General features: G+C 39.8%; 1 long non-coding RNA gene across 2 annotated transcripts in view, besides 1 other annotated feature; it reads right to left on the bottom strand.

The window, feature by feature from the left end:
* LOC124905177 (uncharacterized) overlaps positions 1–18,448 on the bottom strand; it is a 148,876-nt gene that overhangs the window by 127,520 nt on the left and 2,908 nt on the right. The window contains exon 2 of one of the 2 annotated variants that reach the window (XR_007068214.1): positions 6,336–6,565. The exons of the other annotated variant lie outside the window; for it this stretch is intronic. This is a non-coding gene — a long non-coding RNA (uncharacterized LOC124905177). Of the gene's footprint in view, positions 1–6,335; positions 6,566–18,448 lie in introns of those variants that run through there. 2 annotated transcript variants of the gene reach the window in all.
* Positions 12,259–12,308: an enhancer, noted in NCBI's record as "active region_29523". NCBI's record gives its function as "activates an Ori minimal core promoter by ATAC-STARR-seq in GM12878 lymphoblastoid cells {active_cell/tissue: GM12878}" and the evidence as "EXISTENCE:reporter gene assay evidence [ECO:0000049][PMID:35858748]".

Raw genomic sequence — 18,448 nt, 5'->3', positions numbered from 1 at the left:
ATGGAGTTGAGGTGAAGGCTGTTTATGAGGGATCAACACCTATGGCAGGGAGGAGGGGAAAGCAGAATTGGGTACAGGAAGAAGTTGAGCTAAGACACATGCTGGACAAACTCTAAGCTAGCTCTCCCTTCCCTGAGGGGCTTTGGAATGGTCCTGTGTTGGGCTAAAGTGGTTGGACCTTTATCCCCCACCCACACTTTCATTCATCATTGCAAGGGCAAGGGCATACTCTGAGACTGAGCTCACTTCCTGCAGCTGAGGCAAACCGTGACTGACAGAGCTGACAGCTGGGGTACATCTTTCCCTTGGAGGTGGATCTGAGCCATGCATCTCTGTGTCTACAGCAGAGATACTCACAATTGCCTACATGATCATAGCCCAACTCTTTGCATCTCTAGATCTCTAGTCATTTCCTAGCCCAGATCAAGTTATGTCTTTTTTGACCACAGCATAACAGCTCCTATAATTAAGCACTGGTTAGACCCCTGCTGTGAGCTGTACCTACTTTATCTCATTTAATTCTCATAACAACCTTGAGGTAGGTTTCTTTTATTTTTCTTCTTTCTTTCTTTCTTTTTTTTTTTTTTTTTTTGACAGTCTTTCTCTGTTCCCCAGGCTGGAGAGCAGTGGCGTGGTCTTGGCTCACTGCAAGGTCCACCTCCTGGGTTCAAGCAATTCTCCTGCCTCTGCCTCCCAAGTAGCTGGGATTACAGGCATGCACCACCACACGTGGCTAATGTTTGTGTTTTTTAGTAGAGACAGGGTTTTACCATGTTGGCTAGGCTGGTCTCGAACTCCTGACCGCAGATGATCCACCCGCCTCAGCCTCTCCAAATGCTGGGATTACAGGTGTGGGCCATCACACCCAACCTAGGTAGGTTTCCTATAATCCTCATTTTGTAGATGAGGAAACAGGCCACGAGAGATAACCTGTCAAAGGTCATATAACTGGTGAATGGCAGAGTTGGCATATGTACTCAGAGCTGTCTGATTCCAAAGTCCATTTGTTTAACTATGACACTGTATTGATTAGAACAGATATAGGTCTGTAGGCTCCGACTGCAACTCCTTCCCTGACCTTTATCCACAAAGATTTAACAGAAAACACTTCTATTAGGACCGTTAGAGCTCACAAAACAGTCATGTGTTCTTGTGGACTCTTGCCTCTCTTTGACTGCCAGACCCAATAAATGTTTTATTTAGAATATACTATGTTCTACTATCTCTATTTAGATTCTTTGGGAAGCTGACTCTGAGAGACAGATTAGTAGGTAGGAGAATTATTAGTGTTCTCTTGGTATCAACACCCGGGGAAGGGAGGAACAGAAAGCAGGAGTGGACAGATGGAAAAATTGGGCTGCAATGAACGCCTCAGTTGACCTTATAGAGAGCTCAAGAGATAAAAGTGGCTGATCAGAGTTGTCCTCAGTTGGGGCAAGGGAGGCTAAGCCTTTATATATTGTGCCAGATGGTCACTGGATGTGGGATGCCCTGGAAATGGAGCATGATTTGGGGCAAGGTAGCTCTCTGCAGCTGAAGCAAATTGCAAAGTTGGACTCAGCTGAGTGTTTTCAGCTGCCATCAGTCCCAACAGCTGGAGGAATGAGTGTGTCATTCTTTAAAGGGGATCAGGGTGGCCAGTCACAGCATCCACTACAGCTGTTTTCTTCTAAATACTCCAAGAGTTAAGTATTATTAGTCCCATTTTATAGGAAAGAAAATTGAAGGTTAGTCAATTTAACGACTTATGCAGAGACAAGTAGGTAGAATGTAATTATCCATCCATTTATCTAACAAATATTTATTAAGCACATTCTGTGTGCCAGGGTCCTAAGAATTTACTAGTGAAAAAAAAAAGAACACCTGACTTCATCCAAATAATATTTTAGTGTTGACAAGCAATACTTTATTGAAGATATAAAAACAATTTTATGAGCTTGTCCATTTCTTTAAAATAGCTTTTTTTAAATTTCTTCTAAAAAAATGGGATACATGTGCAGAATGTGCAGGTTTGTTACATAGGAATACGCACCCCATGGTGGTTTGCCACACCTATTGACCCATCCTCCAAGTTCCCTCCCCTCACCCCCCACCCCCCAACAGGCCCTGGTGTGTGTTGTTTCCCTCTCTGTGTCCATGTGTTCTCATTGTTCAACTCCCACTTATGAGTGAGAACATGCAGTATTTGGTTTTCTCTTCCTGTGTTAGTTTGCTGAGAATGATGGCTTCCAGCTTCATCCATGTCCCTGCAAAGTACATGATCTCATTCCTTTTTATGGCTGCATAGTATTCTGTGGTGCATGTGTACCATATTTTTTAAATCCAGTCTATCATTGATGGGCATTTGGGTTGGTTCCAAGTCTTTACTATTGTAAATAGTGCTGCAGTAAACATACGTGTGCGTGTGTCTTTATAGTAGAATGATTTATATTCCTTTGGGTATATACCCAGTAATGGGATTGCTCGGTCAAATGGTATTTCTGGTTCTAGATCCTTGAGGAATCGCCATGCTGTCTTCCACAGTGGTTGAACTAATTTACATTCCCACCAGCATTGTAAAAGCGTGCCTATTTCTCCACAGACTCACCAGCATCTATTGTTTCCTGAGTTTTTAATAATCGCCATTCTGACTGGTGTGAGATGGTATCTCATTGTGATTTTGATTTGCATTTCTCTGATGATCAGTGATGTTGAGCTTTTTTTCATGTTTTTTGGCCGCATAAATGTCTTCTTTTGAGAAGTGTCTGTTCATACCCTTTGCCCACTTTTTAATGGGTTTTTTTAATTGTAAATTTGGTTAAGTTACTTGTAAATTCTGGATATTAGACCTTTGCCAGATGGATAGATTGCAAAAACTTTCTTCCATTCTCTAGGTTGCCTATTCCCTCTGATGATAGTTTCTTTTGCTGTGCAGAAGCTCTTTAGCTTAATTAGACCCCATTTGTCAATGTTGGCTTTTGTTGCAATTGCTTTTGGTGTTTTTGTCATGAAGTATTTGCCCATGCCTACGTCCTGAAAGGTATTGCCTAGGTTTTCTTCTAGGGTTTTTATGGTTTTGGGTTTTACATTTAAGTAAAACATCCACCCATTTGCAGATAAGCCTCTGAGTGGCCAGAAGGGCTCTTCCTAAGAGTTATCACATAGGGATTTTCAAAATTCAAAGCATGCTCACCAATTTTGAAATAAACCAAATACTAATACAGCTCTCTAGTTGCTTCTGGCTAAGATCTTCAGACTAAACAAAACAGTGAATTTATTAGACTCCTCTTGAGACATGAGAGCTTACAAACTTTACTACAGAGGCTGGAAATATACCTGGGAAGGAAACATTTGACCTTTGAGTTATTGAGGTATCGAAAACATGCTAAACCAATAGCAGGGAGTGGGTGGAAAAACAGATGGGAAAACAATTCTGATAGTGACCTAGCATTCATCCATGCAGAACTTCTAACAGTCACAAGAAAAGGCCTACCTCTGCTTTTGTGAATATGAGAATTATAATTTTAGTGTGTGCTGCTTTTGTTATACAACCTACCATTTTTGTCATTTGACCACTTTTATAGAGCCCCTCTCATGTGCAGAGCATTAGCTACCATGAGCATGTGAGAGAAGGCAGCATGCACAGCTTTGTGCATTATGTAAGGTGACCCCTTTATTGTGCAGCCTGATGTTTCTTTTGTGTGTGTGTGTGTGTGTTGTTTCTTAATGGAGATGGGCTTGGGAGGGGTAACAGACCCCTTACGTGTTATGTTTTAATCTAGTTGTGAAATGTTAGAAAATACATCAAAAGGTTTATGTGGAAGCAAGAAAATGTTGAAATTTCTTGGTAAAACCCATTTCCATTCATTGCTATTAAGAAGGACTGAGTGGCCATCAACATCTAATCTGGGGTTCGTGGATATATTTTGGGAATGGACCACCTGAAACAACATCATCACCCCAAGTAAAACAAAGGTATTGTATTCTGTGTACCCAAGCTTGGCTTTCCATCTTCCTCAGAATCTTTTAGTAGAAAGAAATGAGAGCTGATGAAGAACCAATTCATATTAAAATAGTTATCAACTAGTGCTGAAAGTCTAATCCATTTGGGATTGTGTTTGCTCCATAAGGTGGTGAACTCAGTTATCTTGAATGATCAGGGAATGGGGTTCTCATTATTTTTATACCAAAATGTATGGCCAATTTACAAAGAATAATATGATTGCAACAAGGTACACTGTAGGAAATTCACTGTAGGAAATTCTGTTCAGAATCAGGCACATCAGAATTTTCTAAGCCATGAAGCTATCATTATGGACACGGATTCTGGCAAATTTGGAAATATCATAGATAGAGTTTCCTACTATTAGAATGTGAGATAAACCAGCTCTCACTATTAGGGAATAGAAATTCTCCTATTGGTCATATGTAAGATGGTATGGATAAAGCAATAGAAGTGATAATCTCTCCAAAAAATAAAATAAATAAATAAATAAAATAGCTGTCTAAAAATTTCCTTGGTCTGAGGAAGAGACATTTAAAGCCTATTAATACATATTACCAAACTTCTTTCCAAGAGAGTTAAAAAATTGTAAACATGCGTTCCTAAAATATTGAGAATGAAGAAAGGGCAAACCAACTTGGCCATGAGACGTCTGTTTAGCATAATGAGGAAGTGTTTAGTACAAATCAACCTTGAGTCAGCCAATTTTCATTTGGAATCTTGAAAGGCACTGAAGATGATAACATCTAATTCTTCATCATTTGAAGAATGCTGTTGATAGCATCAACAACAAAAACCAACTTGTCAAGCACTAAACTTTTACCAAACACCTATCTCATTAGCCCACTTCCTATTTAAGAAATTGCTGTTTAAGAGATTGAATCAATTACTTCCAGATGCAGAGTGAATAAATAGTATAGCTGCACTATGTCTCCTACACCCAGGAATTTTGCTGTCCAATAATTTTATTCTTGACTATCTATTGAGCCCTGGCACAGTCAAAATGGTGGCAAACCTACCACCCTTAGATGCCAGTGCTCTCTTGATGACCCTGGCACACAGGCACTTCAACCCCCTCTGTGCCTTGCTACCATGGCTTTTCTTTGGATAGGGAAAGGAGAAGAAAGGGGAAGGGTTGCCTCCACCCTGGGTTCTGATTTAGTAGGCCAAAGGTATAGTCTGGAATTTGCATTGTAGAAGTGTTTTCCCTACTGCCCATAACTCCCAAATGAAAACCATGGCTTTAGAGACTAGAACTTTCCCTCTCACTTCCCCCCATAGTGTCTGGTGTTCTGTTCCATCAGGGCAGGCAAGGAGCTTGTCAGCCAATTCAAAAGGCTAGTTGGAGCTCAGGTTTTAGTGGGTGATCCTGAATCACATTGATATCCCTCTGAGATAACATGTGTAAGTCAAGCCTGTCTGAGGCCTGATCAGTGGCTGCATTGTTCAGACTTTAATGGCAGATTTGAGTCAGAGTAGGTTTCCTATAGACAAAAAGACATCAGGATGCTGAGATTCCTTAAATAGTGGATATGATAATGGGTATAAAAAGGTGATATTTCAAATGCCAGGTGGAATGGACTAGAAGTAGGTCTTATCATCCACTACTCAGTAGAGAAGAGGTAAAGTGGTCTCTCAAAAAGATCACTCAAGTGATGGACAAATGCATCTTTCTGTTACAAGGATGGTGCTGATCTTGCACAGGGAGAAAAAGCCAGAGAGTTCTACAACTTGTGGGTAAATGTAGAACTGTCAGGACAGTGATAAAAAGAACTGAAGCTCAAGCAAATATTTACTCAAAAAAGACCAATAAGTTGTGCAACTGTCTTATATCACCTGAGCTGAGTAAGACTTGCTCAGGGGGAAAAGTCAGGGATAAACCCTAAGATTGTACCTAACAGGACAGAAATGATCTCAGAGTGAAGCACGTAAGCTGGTATTTTTCATTTCTTCAAATTATTTTAGAAGAATCCCCTGTTTGCCAGAAAGATGTGTATTTGAAAAAAGGGTAGTCCAATGGCTTGTTGATGGCCTTGGGTTTTCAAGGATGAGCCTTTGGGAAAGTGTTTGGAACAGTGTTCTGGGACTTCTTACCACCATGAGGAAGTAACTTGTTTCACTAAAGAGTGATAAATCCAACAATATTAACAATCAAAGTTCCCAGAAGAAGTAAACTTCCATTCACATCCCCAAGTAGACCTGGCCACATGAACCAACTGCCCTGTATAGACACCCACTACAGGTCTCCTTCAGGAACTTCAATCATGTAAAGATGTAATAGCGGCTTGTGTTTAAATATCTTTTAGGCTCACAAAATACATTTAACGTATATTTAAGCCTCGAAACAACCTCATGAGGTATGTCTCATGTGCCCCCATTTTATTAATGAGGAAACTGAGACTTAGGTTAAGTGACCATCCAAAATGTTCACCTAGGCATCCACTTAGGATAAGGTTACAGTAGCTTTTTTCCTCTGTCTCTCTTCCACAGAGAACAAGTAGAAGAGTAGGACATAAATACAAAGAATGTGGTTGAAGGCCTCAGAGATCTTCCAAAGCAGCAGGGACTTGAAAGACCAGCATCCTGTAGAGAAAGGAAATGCATTGAGAAGAATCTGGCATTTTGAACCCAATTTTCCCCTTGATGAATCTGCTGATTCATAAGAGGCTTGGAGTCACGAGTCTAAAAAACCAAGTAAAAGAGTGGCAACTGAGACACTAGGAAGCCAAATGGAGGTTTTGGAAGTCTCACAACCCAGGGAGGCAAAACTTGGAGTTCAGGAATACCCAGGAGGCCACAACTGGAGAAGTCAAGATCTCAGGGAGAAGGCAAACACATTGAAGTGAGCCCGACATTTTTTTTAGGCATTTGACACGATGCCCTGCCTTTTTGTATAAAGATACAGCAAATCTGAAAGTAAAAAGATGAAAAAAGTTATGCCATGCAAACATTAACCAAAAGAAAACTGGTGTAGATGTAACGATAGCAAACAAAGTAGACTTTAAAGGAAGAAGCATTACAAGACATAAAGATGGACATTTGTGCCAAGTGCAGTGGCTCACGCCTGTAATCCCAGCACTTTGGGAGGCCAAGGTGGGTGGATCTCTGGAGTCCAGGAGTTTGAGACCAGCCTGGGCAACATAGCAAAACCCCATCTCTACAAAAAAAATACAAAAATTAGCCAGTCATGGTGGCGTGCTCCTGTAGTTCTAGCTACTTAGGAGAATGAGGTGGGAGGATTGCTTGAGCCCAGGAGATGGAGGCTGCAGTGAGCCAAGATCATGCATTCCAGCTTGGGTGACAGAGTGAAACCCTATCTCAAGAAAAAAGATAGACATTTGATTAAATGGGTCACAGTCTACCAGGAAGATAAAACAATCTTATATGTATGTAATAATGTAGCCTTAAACTATAAAGCAAAAATTGACTGAAATAAAGAGGAAACAGACAAATTCACAATCATGGTGAGGAATTGTAAGGCAACTCCCTTACATTTGAAAATACAAGCCCAACAGAAAGCCTTTGGACCACCTTTCCCAAATTCACATCTTTCTGGTTAGCAGGAAGTTATGGAAAAAGAATTCCAAGGAATGCAAAATGTAGGTATATGTACTTCATTCTGAGACCTGGATTATTGTTACAATTTCTGCCTTGTTAGTTATTTCCCTCCACAACTGTTAGAGAAAGAAAAAAACAACAGGCACGAAATTGAAACAATAAGGAAGATTTGAAACATACAAATAACAAACTTGATTTAATTGATATATTTTGTGCATATGTTTAATATTGCATACTATATATTATATATATATATATATCAAGTGTACATGAAACATTTACCAAAATTATATATAGCTGGGCCATAAAGCACATCGAATAAATTTTGAACAATTGAGATCACTTAGAGTATGTTCCCTGACCACAGCTAGAATAAATTAAAAAGCAATTTAAGGATATATAACTGGAAAATCCTCAAATATTTGGAACTTAAGTATTATACTTCTAAATAACTCCCAGGTAAAAAAAAAAATCCCAATAAAGGTTAGAAAAAAACTTTGAACTGAGTGGTAATAAAAATATAGCATAGCAAAACTTGTGGGGTGCAGTTAAAGCTATGCTTACAGGGAAATTTATAGCTTTGAATTCATAAATTAGGAAATAAAGCTAAAAGTTAGTGATCTCATTATTCATTCCAAGAAGAAAAATACAACACATTACATTCAGAGAAAGCAAAAGGAAGGAAACAATAAAGATAAGCCAAAGAACATAAACGGACAATAGAGATACTCAAGAAGTGAAAAGTTGGTTCTAACAGACACTGGGGCCTATCAGAGGAAGGAGGGTGGGAGGAGGGGGAGGATCAGGAAATATAACTATTGGTACACTAGGCTTAATATCTGGGTGACAAAATAATCTGTACAACAAAACCCACAAGGTAAACACAAGTTTACCTATATAACAAACCTGCACACGTACCCCTGAACTTAAAAGTTAAAAAAAAAAAAAGTTGGTTCTTCAAAAAGACTTATGAGCAAGACTGCTGAGAGTTATCCCTCACTTGAGGCAAAACCACGACTTAAACCTAGGCCTTGACCAAGCACTCCTCAAGCATCCGCTGTCCCAGGAAGCCCTTAGCAGGTTTGTGGGAAGTATGACTGTACCCTGGTTTGGAAAGCTTGCAGGAACGCCAGTTGGGGAGTGCCATAGAGGGCCAGGGTGGGGTTGGGAGTGTGACTCAGTGCCCAATCATAGTACAGGAGATGAGGAGTCACTGGACTCATTCTCTGGAAGCTTCAACAATCAACCAGGGATGGAGTCTCAAACTGCCAGAATCTCTTTTACCAAAAATGAACAATTTCACTGGACTACAGCTTGAGTTTTTTTAGTTCTCTTCTCTCAAAGTAACTATAGTATCACACGGTTATGAACTAAATCTTTATATGGCAATACAGTGACTTATGTTTGCATATCAGCTACCCTGTGTAACAGAAGTAGTCCCCTGCCACCATTTCCCATCAGGGTTTACTCAGTAACAGGCCACCTGGCTGAGGGCTGTGATATTTCACTAGCCTCCTTCCTGAGTTGGAAAAACTCAGGCAGTATTAGTTTCAGATCTCTGAAAAGCTTCAACTTGAGCTAATGCTTCCTTGATTTCCATCCTGCAAAGGAATCCAAGTGGCTTTCTCAAAAAGGAAGGAAACTAACATTTATTGAGTGCCTACTATGTGCCAGAGATTTTAAATTAATTAATCCATTTAATTTTCACAACTCTTCTGAGCTATTTTCATTTTTCAGAGAAGAAAACCAAAGGACAAAATGTTTAAATATCCTCACCATGTTCATAGAGCTTTAACTGGCAGTTTTATTTTTCTTTTATCCCAAAGCTCACTTTCTTGAGAGATGATAAATTGAAATAAGAAAATAAATCTTGCGGTCAGAAAGATCTTGATTCCACTTCTGAGTCTGCCACTTAAACCATTGTAACCCTGGGCAAGTTAGCTGACCTCTATTGAACAATAATACTAACACAGTTGTCCCTTGGTATATGTGGAGGATTGGTTTCAGAACCTCCCATGGATACCAAAATCTATATACAATTGCTTAGTGTTTGCATATAACCTACGCATATCCTCCTGCATACTTTAAGTCATCTCTAGATTACTTATAATACCTAATACAGTGTAAATGTTATCTCAGTATGTTGACCAGGCTGGTCTCAAACTACTGGCCTCAAATAATCCTCCCACCTCAGTTTCCCAAAGCAATTGATACACTGTATTGGTTTTTAAAATTTGTATTATTTTTACATTTGTATTGTTATTTTAAAAAATATTTTCTATCCAAGTTTGGTTGAATCCGCAGATATGGAACTATGGATGTGGACGGTTGATTGTACATATATCCTGAGACCGTTGAGAGAATTAAATAAGATAATGAGGACAAGTGCTAAGTACAGTGCACAACACACACAATATGGTTACTACTCCTACTCCTGCTATCACTATCATTACTGTTGCTCTTGCTGCTGCTGTGCTACTGTATTACATTACCTATCTGGCCTATGCTGCCTCCATTTAGCTCAAATCCTGAACTGTTGACTGCGCTAGCTTCATGCAATGCTATTTAAAGGGCCAAATCCACCAGCCATAAAAAGAAATGAGGAAGTTATGGCTGATAGTGAAGCACAGGCCTCAGGAGTCAGGTCCCATGGGTTTTGTTTTGACCACTGAGTCACGTAGTGACCAACAATCACACGAACATTGGCCAGCTCTCCTGTTGTTCATCAAGGTTAAAGACATAAACAAGCCCTCCTGCTTTGCACATGAAAATTCACCGCTTGCTTGAAAACCTCCTTGGGGAAAAGGTTTAGAAAACACAATTAACAATTTTTCTTGATGGAATCATTTTCTTCTTCCATCAGGGTTTTCTTTTAAATTCTAACCTACCCAGGTGATCTTCAGGTATATCTGAGCAGAGCAGCCCAGGGAGGATAGAAGAAAGGGATGATGCCCTTGATGCAGAATGCAAAAATGTTACTACAGATATTCATCGCTTAAGGGTGGGAATACACTCTAAGAAATGCACATTAGGCGATTTTGTCATTGTGTGAACATCATAGAGTTTACATACACAAACCTAGATGGTATAGCCTACTCCATCATATCACTCCATTATAATTTTATGGGACCACCATTGTATATGCAATCTGTCATCGACTGAAATGTCATGATGTGGCACATGGCTATACCTGAAGAATCAAAAATGAGTCTGTCCAGTTGGTATGTCCTGGAGGTGTTCAGATGTTTGTCAAACGAATGTGTGAATGAACTGGCAGGCATCTGTGCAGTCATTCATTGCATGCAAAGCACTGGAGTCCAAAAATTAATTTTTTAACCTTTTTGGTTTTGGCCTTCTGATGAACCCACAAAGTTTCATGTGTGTCAGAAGTAGCAGTCCCTATGCTAAAAATCTTCCCAACTTCTCTCCTGGTAGTAGTAAGCAATATGCTAGAGCTCCCAGTTCCTACTGGATTTGGCCCTTTATAATACTTATCACAATTACAATTATTTGTTTTGTGGCTAATTTCCTTGATAGGTCCAGCATGGAGCACAGAAACTGACACATAGAGGATAGTTACTGAATACCAGCTGAATGAATGAATGAGCAAACTACTTACTATCTAACAAACCAATGCTTGAAAATGGTACATGTTGCAGATTTCAGCTTAGTGCCACTGTACATTCTAGTTTCCTTTCCCAGATTTTACCTCCCAGGTAGGCTGATGTGCACCTCTCCCACTTTGTTGAATTGAAATTAAGAAATGTGTATGTTAGTGTGAGTCTGGCTTTTTCATGTAGTACTTTAAAACTCCCAGCCCCACTAGTGCTGGGGTGTTCACCGGCTCTCCCAGCATTCCCTAGGTGCAGAGACAGGGAAGTAAGTGGCTTCCTATTTGTCTACAGAGTGACTCAGCTTGCTTTAATGTTGCCTTGTTCAGTGCAAGTGGAGAGCTGGATACTGAGAGAGTCACGGCCAGCAGAAATACCTTCTAGAAATCAAACATGCATCTAGCAGAGCTCACTGGCTTCATCTCCCAAAGAGAGGGGCAGATTATATAAATGCTGATTAAGTCATGAGCTCTTGGTGTGGTGACATTTCACTGCCAAGCAAACAGACTAAGGAGCCAGTGAGCCTCCAATAAATGACGATGTATTTTGTACATTTCTTTTCACTTCCCTCATAGGAATAGAGATGGTCAGAAGGCAGAGAAAAACTTAGATTAAAAGTAGTGGTCTAGAAAGGTAAGTATCCCAAGAAGCAGGGCTAAGGGAGGGGCCGCTTGAGTGGAAGGAACATGATGACAAGGGGAGCCTTAATGCTTTAAGCTTATACGGAGGCAACTGCTGTTGGAGGAGCAGGTACATTCACGAGCTCATCACTCATCTGCAGGTACAGACTTCTCGGGCTCGTGAGCACATGTGGACATTCCTGCTCCTGAAAAAGAATGCCCAGGAAGCTATGTGCCTTACCTCTGAAAGACTTGCTTTATCATTGGCCTTACAGTTCTTCTGATGTCACTACAATAAAAACCTGGCTATGAAAAATAAACAGTGTTGTTGCCCCGCCCAGATCCCCTTTTTGGCAGGTGCACCCAGCTTCCAGCTGCTGTGAGCTGTTGACTGCTAAGAGCTTACAGCTGCAGCCTTCTCTGGAGGATTGTCCTCAACTAACAGGAACTGAGTCCCCAGTCCAAAGTGCCCCAGCCCCAGCATCTCATAGCCAATGACTGACTGACATAACAGTATAAAAAGTCAACCCCCTTGCTTCATGGTAAGATAACTCTGGTGTCATTTATGCCCCAAGAACCACCCTGGAATCAGGTTAAAGCTGGGCTCCAGCTCAACCACATCCTTAGCTCCTCCCTATGCCCTGTCCTGCTTCCTGCCTTCCCCCTCCTGAGAATACTCTTTCAACTGAACTTGAACAAAACAGTTTATTCTTCTGACTTTTGATGGGCATTTGGGTAGTTTCCAGTTTCTTTTACAGTTATAGCTAATGCTGCTTTAAACATTTCTTTCCGTGTGCCTATGTACCCATTTTTGTTGGGTATATTCCTAGGAATGAAATTGCTAGGTCATAGATTTGTATATATCCCACTTTAATGAATGCTGCCAAACAGTTCTTCAAAGTGGGTGCACCAATTCACACTTCTATTAGTTTCAGCGTAGGTATATGTACCCAATGTATGACTCTGTGGCATCACAGGAACTGCTTCTAGGGTTCAAGACTTAAGATAGGCATTACAGCTAACACTCACATAGTACTTACCACATGACAGGCATTCTTCCAAGAGCTACACATGTATTAATCCATTTAGTCCTCACAAATCTACCTCTATGACATAGATGTTACTATTCTCTCTGCTTGGCAGCTGAGGCAACTGAAGCAGAGATTTCAAGTAATTTGCCTAAAGTCACATGGTAAGTGATGGAGCCACGATTTGAATCCAGGCAGTCCCACCCTTAACTATAATTCTTACTGATTCTCATAACTCTCTTTTAATACCTGCTTATGTTCTTTTTCAGAAGGGAAGTTTAACTCTCACTTATTCCTTCCACAAGCATTAACATCCAGGGAATTAGAGACATTTTAAGACTATAATTCCAAAAAACAAAGCTCAATGACTAGAATGGTTTCTTCTACTTGCACTTCCCCCAATCCCAGCCAGCATTATGTAAAGATCAGTTTTGTACTTGAGCAGATGCTAAGCGGTCTGCACTTCTGTGGCTACAGAAAGTACTTAAGAGAAAGTAGGAAAGACAGTTCCAGAGAACAGCCTTTTTCAAGTGAAATCCTGCCAAGGCATACTCAGATATTCACAGTGGCGGTGGCTGAAAGTTACCCAAGATAGAGGCATAGGGGAGGACGATACAACAGCAAAATAATGAAGCCCAGAGCTCTTGTGCACTGCCAGTGGGAGTGTGAATTGGTGCCACCACTTTGGAGAACTGTTTGGCAGCATCTACTAAAGTGGGATATACACAAACCCATGACCCAGCAATTTCTCTCCTAGGAATATACCCAACAGAAATGGGTACATAGGCTCATGGAAAGAAATGTTTAAAGCAACATTAGCTATAACTGTAAAAGAAACTAGAAACTACCCAGATACCCATCAAAAGTAAGAAGGATAAACTGTGGTAAATGCATCCAATGTATGACTCTATGGCAATGAGAATAACTGAACTACAACGACACATAACAATATAGATGAATTTCACAAATGTGTTGAATGAAAGAAGCTGGACACAAAAAAAGTGTATGCTACATGATTCCACTCATATTAAGTTCAAAACTAGACAAAACTCATCTATTGTATTAGAAGACAAGATAGTGGCCACCCTTCGTGGGGGAGGTGACTGGAAAGGGGCACGAGGGGAAAGGACCAGAGTGCCGGTCACATTCACTCTCATGATCTAGGTGGTAGTTCCATGGCTGTGTTGGCTTTATGTGAATCTATCAAATTGTATGGTTATGATTTGTGCACTTCCAGTATGGTCATTATGCTTCAATTAAAAGCTGAAGAAATGACAGAGAACAATCTTGTTAAAAGGGAAAGAAAATCTTCCCACATAGATAGAATGTCTCTTTCTTTCCACAAGGAAAATTATATCAATGAAGATCAAAGCAGTTTTCTTACCCAGTGACCACACTTGTGAGTTCAAATTCCTTAGGGAGGTATTTGGTTGATCTCTCAGAGATCTCTCCTTATTCCACATATTTTGCCCTATATGGATTACTGAAATGGTTTTTGTATCTCAAAGCACCAGGCCTAGGCCATTTACTCAGAAGACAAAAAAAAAGTCAAGAGAGGCATTCATTAAGCACCAGAATAAAATGTGTCTGTCTTGCCCCATTCAAGTTTACCGAGGGCATGGGTTTATGATGAGGATGAGCATGCAGAGTAGGGGAAAGCTGTGTCACATGGAGCTAGTGCCAGAGCAGCAGGGAGACCCTGGCAGGCAAAGGCTTCCTTTGGAGGCTCCTCCAGCGCTGTCCTGTGATGGCATTCCCCACCCTCCCTTCTTCAAGGCAATAAGCAATCTCAAAGAAACCAACATCTAGCTTCCAATAACCCTGTTAATTTATTTCAGCACACAACAGGGTCCCTGATGTGGAAAAATCAGATTTCTAGGCCTCTTCAACATCTGTTCCTGGTAATCCCAATGTGTTATCTTTTTTCATTGCAAAAAGCAGCTGGTGAAGCGTCATGGCATTTCATTAAAGAAAAAAAAAAAGACCAAATAAATACATAGTGGCTTTTGAGAGATTATTTGTGACTTTACCAAAGAGGAGCTGAAAGAAATGCTCTCTTCTTCTTCATCACATGAAAGTCCTTTCTTCTCTGTTTGCATGAGAATAGACAGTCACATTTGAAAAACTTGAATGTGCAATAATGATTTGTCAGAAATTACCACTGTCCTTTGCCTTTAGGCCTGGGGGATGTCCATGTATTCATTTGTTTGCTTCACAGACATGTATTGAACACCTACTATGTGTCAAGCCTTGCCCTAGGTGTTGAGCACCAGGCAGTAAATTAGCAAAAACCTTATTGCAAGTCTCGGGTTACAAAGTCAATGCACACAAATCTGTAGCACTGCTACACAACAATAATTATCAAGCTGAGAATCAAATCAAGAACTCAATCCCATTTACAATAGCTGCAAAAAAATAAACTACCTAAGAACATAATTAACCAAGAAATTGTAAGATCTTTACGGGAAGAACTACAAAACACTAATGAAAATAATCATAGATGAAACAAACAAATGGAAATACATCCCATGCTCATGGGTTGGAAGAATCAATATTGTGAAAATAATTGTACTGCCCAAATCAATCTATAGTTCAATGTAATTTCTATCAAAATACAAACATCGTTTTTCACAGAATAGAAAAAAAATCCTAAAATTCATACGGAACCAAAAAGAGCCCAAATAGCCAAAGCAATCCTCAGCAAAAAGAACAAATCTGGAGGCATCACATTACCCAATTTCACATTATACTACAAGGCTATAGTAAGCAAAACATCACACTACTGATATAAAAGGAGACATATAGAGCAATGGAACAAAATAGAGAACCCAGAAATAAAGCCAAATACTTACAAAAAACTGATCTTCGACAAAGCCAACAAAAACATAAACTGGGAAAAGGACACCCTATTCAATAAATGGAGATGGGAAAATTGGATAACCAAATGTATACAAAAATTAACCCAAGATGGAATAAATACTTTAATCTTAAGTCCCAAAACCATACAAATTCTGTAAGATAACAAGGGAAAAGTCTTGGATATCGGCCTAGGTAACGAATTTACAACTAAGATCCCAAAAGCAAATGAAACAAAGCAAAAATAAATAAATAGTACTTAATTAAACTAAAAAGCTTCTGCACAGCAAAATAAATAATAAACAGAGTAAATACACAATCTACAGAATGGGAGAAAATACTTGCAAACTGTCTATCTGACAAAGGATTGATATCCAGAATCTGCAAAAAACTCAAACAAATCTGCAAGAAAAAAACAAATGATTCTATTAAAAAGTGGGCAAATGGCCGGGCGCGGTGGCTCAAGCCTGTAATCCCAGCACTTTGGGAGGCCAAGGCGGGCAGATCATGAGGTCACGAGATCGAGACCATCCTGGCTAACACAGTGAAACCCCATCTCTACTAAAAATACAAAAAATTAGCCAGGTGTGGTGGTGGGCGCCTGTAGTCCCAGCTACTCGGGAGGCTGAGGCAGGAGAATGGCGTGAACCCGGGAGGCAGAGCTTGCAGTGAGCCAAGATCGCACCACTGCACTCCAGCCTGGGCAACAGAGCAAGACTCTGTCTCTCAAAAAAAAAAAAAAAAAGGTAGGCAAATGACATGAACAGACATTTCTCAAAGAAGGTATACAAATGACCAACAGACATGTGAAAAAAATGCTCGATATCACTAGTCATCAGGGAAATGCAAATTAAAACCACAATGAGATACCACCTTACCCCAGTAAGAATGGCTATTGTTCAAAAGCAAAAAAAAAAAAACAGTAGATGTTGGTGTGGATGCAGTGAAAAGGGCACGCTTATACACTGACAGTGGGAATGTAAATTAGTACAACCTTTATGGAAAACAGCATGGAGATTTCTCAAAGAACTAAAAGTATATCTACCATTAGATCCAGTAATCTCACTATTGGACATCTACCCAAAGGAAAAGAAGTCAATTCTATGAAAAAGATGCCTGCACACATGTTTATCACAGCACAATTCACAATTTCAAAGATATGAAATCAACCTCAGTGCCCATCAAACAATGAGTGGATAAAGAACATGTGGTATATACATAGGGATCCAGTTTCATACATATATATATATATATATATACATTCGTATATATACATATATATTCATATATTCATATATATTCATATACATATACACACACATGGAATACTACTCAGCCTTAAAAAAGAACAAAATAATCTCTTTTGCAGCAAGAAGTAACTCAAGAATGGAAAACCAAATACTGCATGTTCTCACTTATAAGTGGGAGCTAATCAATGGGTATGCAAAGGCATACATAGTATAGTGGACATTGAAGACTCAGAATGGGGGAGGCTAGATGGGGCATAAGGGATGAAAGATTACCTATTGGGTACAATGTACACTATTTGGATGATGGGCACTCCTAAAGCCCAGACTTCACACTACACAATTCATCCATGTAACCAAAAGCCACTTGTACCCCTAAAGCTATTGAAAATACAAATTTTAAAAAATAATAGCTCAGAATTTAAAACAAAATACTCTATTGCTTAAATCCCCTATGAAGGACCTACTTGGAAAAGGACAAAGTGTTGTGCCAGGGCCATGCTCCTCCAACAAACCTTAGATCCTCTTTAGCACAGAGGCCTTCATTCAAAAAACTGGGCCAGCTCTCAGTCTCCCAGACATCCAACATTCCCCACCCACAGCTGCTGCTGTTCAGGACACTTCTTGAACTTTTTCCTCATTACCTAACTGCGGTTGTAAGCAAAGATGGAGTATGTTTGTGATAGAAAGTTCTGGATGATCTACCCTCTAACAACTTCTCCAGACTAATCTCTTATGGCCATTCCCCCTTCTTCACTGTTCTCAAGTCACACAGGCCATCCTTCTGATCCTCAAAAGTGCCAAGCTCTCAACGACCTTAGGACCTTTCTGCTAGCTGTTCTCCCAGCCCAGATTCTCTTACCCCGGATTTTCTCAAGAATTACTTCAACAATATCTTCTTGTTACTATAGTGTCAGCTTAAATGCCAGCCCTCAGAGAGCTGGCATTTAAGAGAGTCCTCAGAAAGCGGCCCTCAGAGAGCTCCCAACCATCACTTAAAGTAACCCCACTCCATCAATTCTTATCACAGTCTCCTGGGATTTCCTGGTCTCTAGATGTGCGTATTGTCTGTCTCCCTGTGCTCCATAGGATACAAGTGCATTAACTGTAGGGACCAAATATATCTAGTTCACCTCTGTGTCCTCAGCAACTAGAATAGTGCCTGGCATGTAGTAAACACTTAATACATATTGGTTTAACGATTTAATAAACAAAAGAATGAATGTCAAAATATTGGAAATAATAAGAAAGTCCAACAATTGGAGATTTGTTCAATAATTATGGCAAATCTCTACAATGGGCTATCATCTAACCAACAAAATAGATGTTGTGGGTTAATATTTTTCAAACTACAAAATATGATCTGTCTGTGGCTCATGTAATCAAGTAGTGAATCATGAAATAGTGTATTCTCTTATATACTAATTCATTATAAAATAGAATAGAAAATATCAGAATACACAATATATTATAAGGATAACTATTGGGCAAATGTGTGTTTATGTATGTGTGTCTACTGAGTAGCAATATAAATTTTTTTATTACA

Source organism: Homo sapiens, chromosome X (assembly GCF_000001405.40).
Source record: "Homo sapiens chromosome X, GRCh38.p14 Primary Assembly".
In the NCBI taxonomy this organism is placed as follows: Eukaryota; Metazoa; Chordata; class Mammalia; order Primates; family Hominidae; genus Homo; species Homo sapiens.
The sequence above is the reverse complement of the archived record's forward strand: the minus strand, read 5'-3'. Positions and strand labels throughout refer to the sequence as shown.